At 36.7% G+C, this 17,252-nt stretch overlaps 1 protein-coding gene across 9 annotated transcripts in view, besides 1 other annotated feature; it reads right to left on the bottom strand.

Moving 5' to 3' along the window:
• The window catches only part of ADAMTSL1 (ADAMTS like 1), a 1,004,318-nt gene that overhangs the window by 809,247 nt on the left and 177,819 nt on the right, over positions 1 to 17,252 (bottom strand). The window lies entirely within an intron of this gene.
• Positions 10,165 to 10,334: an enhancer, noted in NCBI's record as "experimental_107194 CRE fragment used in MPRA reporter constructs". NCBI's record gives its function as "activates a minimal promoter by MPRAs in K562 erythroleukemia cells, with activity observed for the introgressed 9:18091453 variant allele {active_cell/tissue: K562}" and the evidence as "EXISTENCE:reporter gene assay evidence [ECO:0000049][PMID:34662402]".

Genomic DNA, 17,252 nt, shown 5'->3' with positions numbered 1-17,252 from the left:
CCTTATCTCTCACCTCCTAGACCTCCATCTTCTGCCCTTGTCTCCCGTCTAAATTCAGAGTAACCCTCCTTCCCAGGACCTTTGCTGAGAAGGGGCTCAACTAACAAATATTTTGATGGGAATGTGCTACCAGGGGAAAAAAGTTTTCAAACTTTTCCAGAAACATAATCCATTTTCTTTTTCTTGCTTTTCTTTTTTTTTTTTTTGAGACGGAGTCTCACCCTGTTGCCCAGGCTGGAGTACAGTGGTGCTGTCTTGGCTCACTGCAACCTCCGCCTCCTGGGTTCAAGCTATTCTCCTGCCTCAGACACCTGAGTAGCTGGGATTACAGGCACATGCCACCACGCCTAGCTAATTTTTGTATTTTTTTAGTAGATACGGGGTTTCACCCTGTTGGTCAGGCTGGTCTCGACCTCCTGACCTCGTGATCTGCCCGCCTCAGCCTCCAAAAGTGCTAAGATTATAGACGTGAGCCACCGTGTCCAGCCTACATAATCCGTTTTAAATGCATTCATCTGTATTTCATTTAAATTAGAATCTACTTTCCTTAAAAGTATTATGTAGGACTTCTAGAAAGATGGTGAAAACTAGGGTGGTCTTTAAGAGACAATGTATCAACACAGATGACAGAAAGAGAAAGAAAAGAAATCCCACAGACAACATATACAACAAAAGTATGTGACAGCATATCCCCATGCATCCCCAACTACATGCAGGCGAGGACAAGCCATCAAGAGCGAAAAACTGGAAAGGTATTAATGTTTGTATGGGACACGGCAGTGCAAAACAAATGGGGACATTTGAAACTCATAAAAGAGTAATTTCAAAAATACCCAACAGGTGTTTACTGGAAAACATAGGAGGTCAATTTCAGAACAGAAGCTGATACTGAAAATGTTTAGCCAATCCAATAACAGTGAATACAACAAGATCCTGGTAAGGTATGAAGTGGGTGGTGCAGGATGGCACCTGTGATATTCAAAACTAGCAGCCAGGCCTCCTGTCTAGGTCAGGGATCCACACTGAAAAGAAACTACTAGGAGTGGAATCAAAATTTCACAGAAAAAGGAAAACAAAGGGGAAGTAAAGAGAAGGTCCAGAAAAAAATAGGGGAGGGGAATAGACTTAGGAAGTTTCAGAAATCAAGCTTCTATGAACAAATAACAGAATATAGAGCTCTGTGAACTTGAAAAACTACGCTGATGCAAGAATCCTTCTGAAAGTTCAGGGAAATTAGCCAGGCATGGTGGCCCATCCTCTAAAGTCAAGGCATATACACCCTGTAGTCCCAGCTACTCTGGAGGCTGAGGCAGGAGAATTGCTTGAGCCCGGAAGTTCCAGGCTGCAATGAGCCATGATCATGCCACTGTACTCTAGCCTGGGTGATAGAGCAAGACTGACTCTCAAAAACAAAAACAGTTTGGGTAAACGAATTTCACAAACAAATGAGTAACATAAAAATAATACGGTCAACTCCCAAGCAAAGTTACTGAAAGCCAAAAAGAACAAGCAGCTGATGTTCCTACAGACAAAAATTCTGGAGGACATGTCCACAGAACAGTTTGAAACTGTAACAATCTACATAAAAACAGGCTAAACAATATTAAGAAAAATGAAACAATACATAAATTATATTAATTCCGAATTAGAAAAACTCAGAAATGAAGTGACTGCACTTAGAAAAAAATTAAGAAGAATAATTATATCAGAAATAAAACGAATTTAAAAGGAACATGCCTTCATAAATAGAAAGTGAAAAGGAGGAAACTTTGAAAAAGGGCCGGGCGCAGCGGCTCACACCTGTAATCCTTGCACTTTGGGAGGCTGAGGTGGGCGGATCACGAGGTCAGGAGATCGAGACCATCCTGGGTAACACAGTGAAACCCCGTCTCTACTAAAAATGCAAAAAATTAGCCAGGCATGTTGGCGGGAGCCTGTAGTGGGAGGCTGAGGCAAGAGAATGGCGTGAACCCGGGAGGCAGAGCTTGCAGTGAGCCAAGATTGCGCCACTGCATTCAAGTCTGGGCAACAGAGCGAGACTCCATCTCAAGAAAAAAAAAAAAAAAAGGGAGAGAGAGAAAAAGGAAGAAAGAAATAAAATTGATTCAAGAGAAAGGGACAAATATTGAAGACAGGTAAAAAAAATTTCGACATACAGATTTAGTCCCTGAAGAAAACAAATACAAAGAAACAGAAAAAACACTATATTTGTAAAATTTTCTGAAATTAAAAAAAAGAAGTTTCATATTAAATGAAACACCTCATATCTGAGAATATGAACCTCCAGAGCAACCAAAACCAAAGCATAGCCTAGTAAAATTAATGGATGTTAAAAAAAAAAAAAAAAATATATATATATATATATATATATATATATTTTCCATTTGCAGCAAAGCAAAAACAGCCAGTGACTTACTCGGGAAAGAAAATGAGATTCTAATCAGATTTTTCAGGAGCAACACCCCAGGCAAAAATAGAGTAACATATTTGAATACTCAAAGACAGATAATGTAAGCCAAAGCTTTTACATCCAGCAACGTGGATCTCCAAATATAAAGGGCACCAAAAACAAACAAATAACAACAATTTAAAAAAAAAAAACCTGCTGTCAACCTGCAAAAAAGTCATGGAATGGACTTCTTCTAGATAGGATGAAATAAACAGATTAATCCTCCCACCGTAAATGATAAAACTGAATCAAATATATAAGGCAACTATCTTCAGATATTAATCAACAGACAGCACAAAACTGTAATCTTTAGGGGAGGGAAACTCACAAAGTGAGCCCCAGAATTGACCTGGATCTTTGTTTAAGGACATTTCTCAATTCTCTATTGTAGTTCAGTGAGCTGGAGTCCTAGCTAAGCACTGTGGTCCTGATGAGATTACAATGCATGGATCAGAATTCAAAGTAGGTGAATTGGCTGGAATCCTTAGGGTAGGACACCAGAGAGTAGAGAGAGGCACAAAGAAGGTGCCCAGAATTCTAACCAGTGAAATAAAGCAAGACACAGAAATAAAAGGCTTATAGATAGGAAATGAAGTTGTTAGCATGTCATGGTTTGCAGATAACACTCAAGGATCTTCCAAAGCAATTAGATTTAGTAAGTTAATTTAGCAAACTTGCATAATACAAGGCCAATATATGCAAATCAATTACATGTTTCTAGACGAGCAACAATATTTGGAAAATGCAATTTAAAACAATATCACTTACAATAGCTTTGAAATAAATTTAACAAAAGAGTTCTCAGTTCTGTGTACTGCATACTACAAAACAATGCAAAGAGAAATTAAAGATCTACATTTTTAAAAAGATATATCATGTCCACGAATTAGAAGATCCAAAATTGTTAAAATTTCCTTTTTATAAATGAATAAACTGATTATAAACCTTATATGGAAATGCAAAGAAACTAGTCAAAATAGTCTTGAAAAAGGAAGAACAAAGTTGGATAAGTTAAACTACTGGTTTTCAATACTTATTACAAAGTTGTATTAATCAATATATTATTAGAATAATGATAAACATATAGATAAATATAACAAAATAAATTCCAAAAAATACCCATAATTTATTTTTTACAAAGGCTAATGTAATTCAATGGGAGATTGGATCACGTTTTCAATAAATGTTTCTGTAAAAACTGCATATCAATCTGGAAAAAAAATAAGCCTTGATCTCCAATTTACATTGTATACAAAAATTAATTCAAAATGGATCACTAACCTAAACCTAAAAGCTAAAACTATAAAACTTTTGGAAAAAGCATAGGAAAAAATCCTCACCATTTTGGGAGAATGCAAAGATTTCTCAGTATACACACTCAAAAAAAAAACAATAACCATAAAAGAGAAAAAAGTGAACAAATATATTTGACAAAGAATTTTTATCTGGAATATGTAAAGAATCTTTACAACCTAGGAATGGGAAGATAAGAATTAAATGAAAAATTCTGTAAAAGTCTCACAAAAGGAGCTGTATGAACTACAAATACTCTACAAAGATGCTCAACATTATTAATCAGGAAAATGCCAACTAGAACCATAATGAGAGACATGCATTAGACTGATGAAAATTGTACACATGCATTAGATTGATGAAAATTGGAAAGACAGACCACACGAAGTATTAACAAGGATGTGGAGCAGCCAGACTTTTATACAATTCTGGTTGGAGATAAAATAGTGTAATGACTTTGAAGAATACACTGGAAGTTTCTTATAAAATTAAATATACGGTTACCATATGACCCAGAAATTCTATTCCTAGGTATTTACCAAAGCAAAATGAAAATTTTTGACAGCCAGAATGTTGTACACTGAAGTTAATAGCAGTGTTACTGCTAAAATCTCAGAAATAGCCAAAATCCAGAAACACAAATATCTATCAAAAGATGAATGGATCAACAAATTGTAATATATGCCTACAATAGAATGCTACACAGCAATATTTATACACACAACATTCAAAAATGTTATCCTACACCAAAGAAGCCAGAACCAAATGAATACACACCACATGATTCCATGCATATGAAACTCTAGAAGAGATTAATCTAGTGATGTTGGCTTGCAATGGGGATCAACGTTGGCTTGGAATGGGGATGGGTAACTGACTAGGAAGGTGGACAAGGGACTGTATTTTGATGATGGAACCGCCATGTATCTTGACAGTATATCTGATACAAAGATGAATACATTTAAGAAATCTCATCCAAAAGCATACTTACAATGGATGCCTTTTATGATATGTACATTGTACCTCAACAAAGTTGATTTAAAAGCATACTAAGAGAAGATGACAAAAAAAGGAGTACATACCATATTATTTATATGAGTTCTAGAGCTGGTAAAGCTAATCTATAGTGGCAGAAATCTTATCAATGGTTATTTGTGGAAGAGGAAATGAGGAATTAACTTGAAAGGGGACTTGAGAAGTTTGTAGGGTGACAGAAAAGTTCTACTCATGATTTGGATGGTGATGATACAACATATACATTTGTCAAAACCTACAAAAGTGAATTCTTAATGTCTGTATTTTAAATAAAGTATACTTCAGAAAAAGATGATTTTTAAAAAGCATTAGGAACTATTGCTCCTATGAGTCCATTCTGAAGAATGTGACAGAGAACATGCTTCACGTAACCAAAACATCTGAAGTGCACTATCCAATATGGCAGGAATCTCCACCACCCCCATCTCCTACTCTGGCCACAGAGTGGTACCAAGAGCCACATGGGCCAGTGGCTACTATATTGAACAGCACAGTCACAGAACATTTCCATTGCTGCAGAAAGTTCCATTAGACAATGTTGGTCTAAAGAAATGTTGAAATAAAAATTGCTGGTAAGAATTAAATATACGTTTATTGATAGAACTAAGAGTGAGATAAAGAAGGGAATACGGTAATTACTATATTTAGTCATTGTCATTATAGTTCACTGAATATGCACATTATATATGCAACATTTTTAACAATTCTACTTGATGAAAAAACATGCTGAGTAAATGAAGCTGACCAAAAAAGTAGTACATGCCATATTACTTACATGATGCTGTTATATGGGAGTGGTAATACTAGTATTGTTACTAAGACTGTTGTTGTATAATAAAGGATAAGAAAGAATGTAATTGACTGACTATGGGAAGTCTGATGCGATTATCCCCTATGCTCCTGACAACCAGAAATGAAGGAAAGAGTTACAATACAGACAAGACCAAATAAAAAGATCCATAGTCCTGAATAAGAATCAAAAATAACAAAATGAACTCATATTTCCCATTCAGGAGGCTTAGAAACAATGACCAACCCAGTAGCAGTAGGCATTGCTGACTCTCAGATTTGGATCTTCAAATACCATTTCCCACTAAAAGAAACCAGGGCTTCTTAAATGTCTGATTCCAGGACTGGAGCAAGAATTATGCAAGATGAGACTGAAATACGTTGTCAGCCCAGCACTAAGAAATTTATCAGGGAGGGCCACCACAGTGGCTCACACCTGTAATCCCAGCACTTTGGGAGGCTGAGGCGGGTGGATCACCTGAGGTAAGGAGTTTGAGACCAGCCTGGCCAACATGGCGAAACCCCATCTCTACTAAAAATACAAAAAATTAGCCGGGCGTGGTGGCATGTGCCTGTAATCCCAGCTGCTTGGGAAGCTGAGGCAGGAGAATAGCTTGAACCTAGAAGGGGGAGGTTGCAGTAAGCCAAAATCGTGCCACTGCACTCTGGCCTGGGTGGCAGAGCAAGACTCTGTGTCAAAAAAAAAAAAAAAAAAAAAAAAGAAAGAAAGAAGAAACTTATCAGGGATTACTAAAAACGTGTCAAATTGATGAGTCATTCCCTGGCCAATTTGAACTTTCAACACTGTGATAATTAAAATGGATTGAAAACCATCTAAATATATTTAAATCCATTAGTTTAAATCTCTGCACGTAGGTACTTGTGTGTGATCTATTGGCTGTGAGCCCTTTCTGATGCAGTGTTTTCATCAGAGCATGTGTGTAAGATGATGACTTCCCCTGGGCATCTTGTTAAAAGATAGATTATGATTCAGAAGGTCTCAGGTGGCGTCTAATAATCTGCATTTGCAACTAGCTCCCAGGTGTCTCTGTAAGCTGCGTCCATGAACTATCTTTTAGCACCAAAGGTCTACCTCTGAACCTGTGACCTACATAGAGGGACAGGAAGGAAGAAGGCAGGTAAAAGATAGGACTGAACGTTCTAATTCTAGTCTTTATATTTTTAAGAGGGAACTCTGATTATGTTTAGATTTAGGTGGCATTTGCCTGAACCTGATGAAATGAGGCAGAGTCATCTTTAAGAAAATCAGAGGGCCAGGTGCAGTGGCTCAGACTTGTAATCCAGGTACTTTGGGAGGCTGAGGCGGGCAGATCAGGAGGTCAGGAGATTGAGAGCATCCTGGCTAACATGGTGAAACCCTGTCTCTACAAAAAATACAAAAAAAAAAAATTAGCTGGGCATGGTGGCGTGCACCTGTAGTCCCACCTACTCGGGAGGCTGAGGCAGGAGAATCACTTGAACCCAGGAGGTGGAGGTTGCAATTAGAAAGTATTTAGAAGACAAAACCACTGATTATACTTAGATTTAGGTGGCATTTGACCGAACCTGATGAAATGAGGCAGAGTCATCTTTAAGAAATCAGAGGGCCAGGCACAGTGGCTCACAGATGCCATACACAAAATGTTCTGTACACACAATGGATGACAGACCTAAAATGCATTAGTGAAGGGTGTATGGGGGAAGGAGGAAGAAAGAGGGCAGACAACTGTAATACTACACACATAACTGAGAAGTTCACACAGTGAACCACACAGTGGTAGTATATATGGTGAGTAATCAGGGAATAGAGATAGAGGCAGATAAAGCCGACTAGTTTTAGGCTGTTGCTGACCAGCCACAGAATAGCTGCAGAAAGGTTTCTTCTCCCTGGGTCTTAGTCTCTTCATCTGTAAAATGGAGATAAATTCTTGAAACGGTTTGAAAGAACACATTAAAATTTTACATCATGGTGAGTGGCATTTAACAGGCAACCAATAATGGTAGCTATCACTCATAGGTTTTCTAACCTCCAGTTTCTAGCCTCTGAAATCTACTCTGGGTACATTACTCAACGAAAACTGGTCTCTCATCAGTGTCCTAGTGTCTGACAAAATGAAATGATGGATCAACTCCCAAACCTAGAATTCCGCCTGGGAGCCTCTTACTTTCCAACTACCAAGCTTGACTTATAATGACCTGCCTCTTTTCCTCTCCTCTTAGAGTTGCTCCATTGCACAATGACCTTCCCATATTTCTCTCACTAGTGAGCCCTGTCCTCATCCAGCCCCACTTCCCCTCTCCAAAGCTTGGTTCAAACACCAGCTTTCCAAGAAGCTTTGTGTGATCTCTTCCTCAGTGGAAAGTGATTTCTTTCTCTTCCAAGACCAAAGCTCAAATACCATGCTCTTTGCCAAATACTTTGAAACCCAGGGATGGCTAAAAACTTTAGGAGAGCCTATTTCTTGGTTCCTAAAGAATTTTACTAGATTTTTATAGTTACATTTGTTAGTCTGTAACTCTAAGTAATAATATTTATATTTTTCTTAATAACCTCTCAGCTTACTGATATGAGGAATAGAAGCTTAGGAAAATGAGGGTAGTCCTAATATAAATTTCATAAACCTAAAAGAATAGTTGAAATGAATTAATTTTGAGGGCTATTTCCAATGCGGCCTTATGCCATCTGAATTTGAACGCTCCTTGTTAACTTTCAACTACAGAGTAGGGGGAATACACAGCATATATTCTATTCTAAACTGTCTGCATTTAAAAAACTTAAATTAGGTATCTGCTAGTCAACTAGCCAAAGAGCTAACTGAATGAGATAACAAAGGATAAAGAAAATACAGGGCTAAGAATTCAAAGAAAAATTTCTGATTTTTAAATCTGTTCCTTTGAAAAATACTGCAGATTTTTTTTCTTTACTATATTTCTTCTAAATAGTATTTCTTCTATTGCTTCCCTGGCATTTGCAAAAAAAATAAAAAATCCATTACAGGAACTTATTTTCTGTACTTGTCGGCTGCTACCTATGCAGTTCCACTATGAATGACCATTAACTGCCAATCTCAGCATTATTACCATGAGGCCTCCATAATCCCCATCCCATTGGTCAGTCTTAAAATATGGCACAGCTGCAAAACAATGTCAGCTACGATTGAGCCCCAATTTTCCCTGTCAACAGCCTTGTTCAGCTTCCCAGATATTCCTACTTGTTGCCAAGTCCATTTTGTAAATGAAGTCTGCCTTTTGAAAATCACCATATGAATATGTCAACAGGTCATGAAATATTTTCATTACAAATCTTAAAGAAAAACTTAGCTCTAAAGAAACAGTTTGAAAAATGTCTATTTCATTAAGTGCAAGTGTGAAATCTTGATGGAAAACATTTATTTTGGCAACTTTCTATTATGTTGGTGGCCCAAAGTATCCTGACTAGACTATCTTTGTGGGAAGTGAAACTGGGGAATTCTGGAGCAAATGAAAAATTCTCTACTAGGAGCTTTTGGACCACAAGTATTGGGGAAAGACTGGGAAAATCCAAAGTGCAAATGCCAGGCACAAGAGCTTATTCCTGTATCACTGGAGTCATTTCTCAATTATCCACATCAAGAAAAAAAGAAATAGTGGTATGGACCAAAGACAGAAGATAATCCCCAAAATAATTCATGTTTGACTTTGGAACAAATACATGTATGTGTGTGTACACGCATTTCCCTAATTCAACTATATTGCTGAAATCATTTTCTCTGCCTGATACTTTCTACTCATTCTTTATGACCCAATAAAAATGTCACTTCCTTTGCGAAGCCTTCCTCGCCTTCCCAGAGAGATAATCTCTGTCTCTCCTGTGCTCTCACAGCCTTGGGTACCTTATAGCTTTTGTCATGTTGAGCTACAATTGCCTTTTTATATGTCTGTCTTCCCCAACTGTCTTGAGAGATCTGTGATCTAAAGTCAATGTCTTATTCATTTCATTTTCCCCAGAGCCGAGCCCCAAGTATAGACGATGCCAAGCAAACATTTTTTGAATGATTATTTTTTCAGGTAATCCCAAGCTGCTTGGGGATGTAGTATCCCAGATGTATCTACAGATGAACAAAAATATCAGAGGAAATATCAAATTACAATTAGAAACTGACACAGATCATTCCCAAAGAATGTAATCAAGAGAGAAGTTCATGAGATTTCCTAAAATTAAAAGCTTGTCTTGGACCTTTGTGATTTCCTTGCAGCCTCTCTAGCGTTCACTAATTATACCACTCACTCACTCACTCACAATACCCGTGCTGCTCTGTTTTCTTATTCATCATTTTAGGCGCAAGGACTCTCTTGCTACTAGATGGAAGGGACTGTGCTTTAATAATTATAATGCCCCTTTACTTTTTAATAGCACACTGTGTTCACCAATTACTCATGCCACATTGCTCTATAAGTTCACTGTGATGGCTATCCTCATTTTCATGTGAGAAAACTAATAATCCAAAAAAATTAAGTGACATGGACAAGGATACACAGCTAAATGTTAAAACTGGCATCAGGACCCAAATGTCACTGACTCTAATGTCTTAGTGTCCTAGACACTGTGTGATGATGTTACAGCTTATTCTCCATAGTACAAGGAAGGTCCTGATTTACAGAGAGAAAACCCCAAGATGAGGGAAATTAAATCCACATTCAGAGATCGCAGAAGGGCACAGCCAGAGGCCAGGGTGAAATTCAAGACTCTATATAGGTTTATTAATTCAAAGACTTGCCTCCTTGATGTTCCTTTTTTATAAAATATGAATGATAATTTGTTATCATGACACTTCAGCCAGACCCTTTCCAAAAAATAACACTACCAAGATGAGACACCATATAAATAAGATATAATATAATCAAAAAGAAGACACCATATAAACTTTATGTAAGGAACTTGGCTTAAAGTGAAAAATTGTGTCAGTGATACCAAGAACAAAAAACAAACAAAAAACAGTACCGTGGGGCTAATGGTTGACTACCAATTTATATCCAGTAATTGGCTGATTTGAAGTTAGGTACACACACACACACACACACACACACATGCATATACACACACACACTACTTATTTAACTAAAGATTCTTTCAAGTTGGAGAGAAAAGCTTAATGGAGAAGGTACCATTGAGGAGAACCTGCGAAAGCAAGTGAGAGAGAAGCTACATGAACAGTGTTCCATGTGTACACAGCCCAGAATAAGAAGGGTCATGTGGTTATGAGGAACAAGAAAACCACCAGAAAAAAGCAAGGAAAACGCCAGGGGGAGGAAGGAGAGAAGGCAGAGATAAAGTTGGAAAGGGTCTTAAATGTCAAGCAGGAATGGGAATGACTTTCCAGTTATTTTTATTGTGTTTAAAGATACATAAAATTTACCATTTTAAACCATTTTTTAGTGTACAGTTCTCTGGTATTAAGTATATTCATATTGTTGTAACCATTGCCGCCATGCAGCTCCAGAACTTTTTCACATTCCGCAATTAAAACTCTGTACCTATTAAATGCTAACTCCCTATTTCCCATCTCCTCCAAGCCTCTGGCAACCACCACTCTATTTTTCTGTCTCTGAATTTTACTACTCTGGGTACCTCATATAAATGGAAACATCCAGTATTTATCCTTTGGTGACTGAATTATTTAACTTAGCATAATGTCTTCAAGGTTCATCCATGTTGCAGTGTGAGTCAGAATTTCCTTTTTAAGGCTGAATAATATTCTATTCAGTGTATATACCCTATTTTGTTTATTCATTGGTCTGTCAGTGGACATGAGTTGCTTTCCTGTTTTGGCTATTGTGAATAATGCTGCTATGAACATTCATTTATAAATATCTATTTGAGTCCCTGCTTTCAATTCTTTTGTGTTTATACCTAGGAGTGGAATCCTGAATCACATGGTAATTCTACATTTAATTTTTTGAGGAAGTGGCATACTTTTATTTGTAAGGGAGCTGCAACCTTTATATTCCTACCAGCAATTTCTTCACATTCTTGCCAATACTTACTTTCTTTTTCTTTTTCATAATAGACATCCTATGGGTGTGTTAACAAGTAATTTTTAATACCAAGCATTTAAACTAAAAATGAAAGTGCTAACAAATGCTAAAACACTGTAACAACTTCTGAACTGTATTTTACCAAACTTAATATAAATTATAATTACCAACCTTAACCTAAATTATAGTAAGAAAAGCCTAACCTGAGCTCTACTCTTTTAACAGATCTACCCTTATAACAGATTTTTAAGTGCACCACTCAATATCGTTAACTATAGGCAGGATCTTATACAGCAGATCTTTAGAGCTTATCACATTGCGTGACTGAAAGTATATTCTATCAATAAGCAATTCTCAGTTTCTCCTCCCTCTAGACCCTGACAACCACCATTATACTCTCTGCTTCTATGAGTTTGACTATTTTACAAGTGGAATCATGCCATATTTGTCATTCTGTGACTGGCTTATTTCATAGCATAATGTTCTCAAGTTTCATCCATACTTTTCCTTTTTTATTAAAGTTCTGGGATACATGCACAGAACATTCAGGTTTGTTACATGTGTATACACATGCCATGGTGGTTTGCTGCACCCATCAACCCGTCATCTACGTTAGGTATTTCTCCTAATGCTATCCCTCCCCTAGCTCCCCACCCCCCGACAGGCCCCAGTGTGTGATGTTCCCCTCCCTGTGTCCATGTGTTCTCATTGTTCAACTCCCACTTATGAATGAGAATATGCAGTGTTTGGTTTTCTGTTCTTGTGTTAGTTTGCTGAGAACGATGGTTCCCAGCTTCATCCATGTTCCTGCAAAGGACATGAGCTCATCCTTTTTTATGGCTGCAGAGTATTCCATGGTATATATGTGCCACTTTTCTTTATCAAGTCTATCATTTATGAGGCCAGCATCATCCTGATACCAAAACCTGGCAGAGTCACAAATTTTTTGTTTTCTTTTTTTTGGTTTTTTGAGACAGAGTTTCGCTCCTGTCGCCCAGGCTGCAGCGCAATGGCACGATCTTGGCTCACTGCGACCTCCATCTCCTGGGTTCATTTTCTTCTTTTTAAAGGATGAATAATATCTCATTGTGTATATATACCACATTTTGTGTACCCATTCATCTGTTGATAGACATTTAGGTTGTTTCCATACCTTGTTTATTATAACTAATCCTGCAATGAACATGGGGATACTCATATCTCCTTGAGATCCTGATTTCAAATCTTTCAGATAAATACCCAGAAGTAGGATTGTTAGATCATATGGGAGTTCTATGTGTAATTTTTTGAGGAACCACCTTTCTGTTTTCCACAGTGGCTGCTCCATTTTACATTCCTGTCAACATTGTACTAAGGTTTCAATTTCTCCACAAACTTACCAACATTGTTGTCTTTCATTTTTATGATAATAGCCATCCTAAATAGGTATGAGGTCATATCTCATTGTGGATTGTAGTGTTCATTTGCATTTCCCTGATGATTACCGACACTGAGCAGCTTTTCATATACCTGTTGATCATTTGTATGTATTCTTTGAAGAAATTTCTAATCAAGTCCCTATCTTATTTTTAATTGGGTTATTAGGCTTTTTGCTATTGAGTTGTAGGCGTTTAACTCCTTATCGAATATATAATTTGTAAATGTTTTCTACCTTTCCTTAAGTTGCATTTTCTCCATGTTGATTGTTTCCTTTGCTGTCTAAAAGCTCTTCAGTGTGATGTGGTGTGACTTGTCTAATTTTGCTTTTGCTGCCTGTGCATTTAGTATCTTATCCATGAAGTCACTGCCAAAACTAATGTTATGAAGACTTTCCTCTATGTTTTCTTCTACAGATTTTTCAGTTTCCAGTCTTATATTTAAGTATTTAATCTACTTAAAGTTGATTTTTGTATATGAAGATAGAGATACAATTTCATTTGTTTTGCATATAAATATCCACTTGTTCCAATGCCATTTGTTGAAGAGACTATCCTTTCCCCATTGTGTGTTTTTGGCACTATTATCAAAGATCAGTTGACCCTGTATGTATGTAATTCTAGGTTCTCTATTCTGTTCCATTGGTCTGTATGTCTGTACTTATGCAAATACATAGTTTTAATTACTATAGCTTTGTAATATATCTTGAGATCATGAAGTGTGGTACCTCCAGGGCTGATTGTTTAATATAAGTTAGAGGGCCCAAAGATATCAGGTGTGGACAAATTGTTGCTTATTGAAATTCCTGAGATAGGCAACTGCTTTCTATTTCATCCAAAGGACAGATAAGTGACTAATACTGTTTGTATGTTCTGCAACTTTTAATTGCAAAAGACCAAGAACCTTAGCAATACAACACTGATACAAATTGCTTAGTTTCTTCTACTTAAAAGAGACATTTTCTACCTTTCTTTTTACAGAAAAATCATAAAATATTATCAAAAAGTATTTAAATATCCATTATTTCACCTATTCCAAAATAACCACTGTTAAATTACGATACAACTTTCTATATCCTATACTCAAACATGTCTACTAATAGAAAACTTTAAATTTTCTGTTATAAAATGCAAATCCAAAATTACATAGTCACATGGCTCTAGATCTATTAATAAGAAAGTACATTTTATGAAGAGATTTGTTTTAAAAAAATTAAAAATTTTGAGAACTTAGGCTAATTTGTAGAACTTACCACTTTCATATTATTTCACTTTAAGTGACCTAGGAGAATTCCTCATTAAAAACTAGTTAAATACGTGGATGTTTCCAAACTATAGTTTATCAATTATTGCACAAACTTAATTGCTTTAAAAATGAACAGTTTGTTTTCCTCCATAAAATACACTCATTGTTAAATATATTTTGCTTAAATTTTCCAGAAGACGGCTCTTTGAGATGCAAGTAAACATGAACAACTTCTGGCTGAAAGCATTTTTAAAAGCATTTAGGGAGGGAGAAAAGAAAAGGTTATGACTGAAATTAACTACAATGTGTGATAAATGAGAAAAATGAAAGCACAAAAATAAAGTTAATACAACACAGTAGCTATCTAACCCAAGTTAAGCAAAGCAAGAATTAAACATATAATAACAAAATTAACTCAGCCTCATGAGAATGTTGACTGGGAGATGACTTTACAAAAACAGAGTTGATTACAGAGTTATATAATAGATTATTGTTTGAGTTCTCTTAAAATTTCAAGCAATCAGCAACCCTAAGTCATCAAAATCTTGTTCTGAATATGGAAAGCATTTTTTAAAAAGAAATATTCACTGTTTTCAAAGCACTTGAAATAAAAAAATACGAAGCTAATACTATGAAAAATTAAAACATGACTTAGTCATCCCTGATTAAGGGCCACTGCCCAACTTTTTACAGAAATTGTCATAAGCATCATTTTAGTCAATTATAACCATCCTTGTTGTACAAAATCATTTAAATGCTTTCTAAAGTACACATAAATCAGCCAGCCAAAGCAACCCAGTTACCGATCACTGAAGATAGTATTTAATATGTGGTTGTATCACAGTGTAGAGTACAAGTTCTTATCTTACTGCTTAATAATATCTCTTTTATTTTTACAGCAATAAACCAGTAGGTAAAAGAATGTAATTATCATAGTCATGGAATTCAAAGAGGCAACATTAGGGAGATTTTGATCTAACTTTAAAGCAGATTTAGGATTATATGATGGCTCTTAAAGAAATTGATTTTGGCTGTTTATTTTGCTTTTTTTTTTTAATTCACTAAATTATCTGTACCAAGCACAGGCAATGGAATTCAAATCATTGGTCACTCTGTTTTATTTAAGGTTAGTCTCTTATTCCTGCAACACAACTGGCAAATGCTTGAAGGCTTCCTCCTCTATTTGGTGGTCCCTGTCTCTGGGAGGTCTGTCCTTCCTTCAGTCTGGACTATCTTGTGCCTGCTTCACTCTGTGACAAAGATGACCTCTGCAGAGTCAAATTCATGTAAATGACCAATAGGCACTTCAAACATAACATGTCAAAAATCTGGATTTCTGATTTCCCTCAAAAAATTATCTCTCACATTCTTCCTTCCTTTGGTAAATGTCAGTGCCAGCCCGCTAGCTGCTGAGGGCAAAAGGCCTGCAGTCTTCCTCGACTCTTACACCTCATACCCAATCTGTGCTCATCGATTTGACTTTCAAGATATTATCTTATAATCTGACCATTTCTTACCATCTCTGCTGCTACTGTCCTTGCCTGAGCCACTATCATCTCTTGGCTACATTAGATAAATAGTTCCTATCCTTGTTCCTGCTATAGTCACTTCTCCAAACAGCAGCCAGAGTGAGACTTCCAAGTGCCAACCAGCTACTGTGTGTGCATGTGTGTGTGTGTGTATATATATATACACACACACATATATATGTATACACGTATATATATAACCTGCTATATATATACACACACAGTATATATATATACACACACACACAGAGTATATGTATATATATACACACACACAGAGTATATGTATATATATACACACACAGTGTATATACGTATACACACACAGTGTATATACGTATACACACACACAGTGTGTATATATGTATACACACAGTGTGTATGTATACACAGTATATATATATGCATACAGTATATATATATGCACACACAGTATATATATATATATATGCACACACATATGTGTATTTGTGTATATATGGTACACAATATATACTATATAATTAGTATGTATCAGGCACTGTCCAAAGTGCTTTGTTTATATTATGCCATTTCATCATGATGTCTATGAAGAAGATACTATTACTTTCTTCAAAGAGGAGGCAACAGAGGCCCAGTAAGGTTAAGTATTGTGCCCAAGATCGCACAGCTGGTAAGTGGCAAAGCTGGGATCCAAACCCAGGCAATATGGGCATTAGTTCCTCTATTGCTCCTAGGAGGTTCCCACTTGAATCACAGGAAAAACACAGTCTATGAGGTCCTGTGTAATCTGGCCCTCTCTCTACACATTCCCTATTAATTTCCATGTTCAGTCCACTCCAGTCTCATCACCTCCTTGCTCTCTATTAAACACACTAGCATGCTCCCAGCTCAGCATGGTAGCACTTGCTGTTCCGTCAGCTTCAAACACTCTACCTCCAGATACCCACATGGTTTGCTCAAATGTCAGATTATCAGTAGAGTCTTACCTAACTTCCCTATTTAAAACTGCAGGCCTCTTCTCCCTTTCTTCCTTCCCCTCTTTGCAAGCTTTATTTTTATCCCTAATGCTTAGCAGTACTTGACAAGATATATATTTTACTTGCACATATTTCTGCTTTACCTGATTATAATGTTAAGTTGCATGATTGTAAGGATTTTTGTCTGTTTTGCTCACTCTCATGTCTCCAGCACCTAGAATGTGTTTAGCACTTGGACAGATGAAAGGAAAGCAATGGGAGGGTGGGAGGGAGGGAGAGAGGGAGAGAGGAAGGAAAGGAAGCAGAAAGGGAGGGAGGGAGCTTGAGCTGTACGGTGTAACTGATCGATTTTCTTCATAGCATCAGAGGTGACTATGAATTAAACATTAATGAAAAGCTAAGAGAATTCCATCACCACCTCTTTTTTTTTCTTTTTCTTTTCTTTTTTTTTTGAGATGGAGTCTTGCTCTGTTGCCCAGGTTGGAATGCAGTAGTGTCATCTCGGCTCACTGCAACCTCCGC

The sequence above is a fragment of the Homo sapiens genome, chromosome 9 (genome assembly GCF_000001405.40).
Source record: "Homo sapiens chromosome 9, GRCh38.p14 Primary Assembly".
NCBI classification, from domain to species: Eukaryota; Metazoa; Chordata; class Mammalia; order Primates; family Hominidae; genus Homo; species Homo sapiens.
The sequence above is the reverse complement of the archived record's forward strand: the minus strand, read 5'-3'. Positions and strand labels throughout refer to the sequence as shown.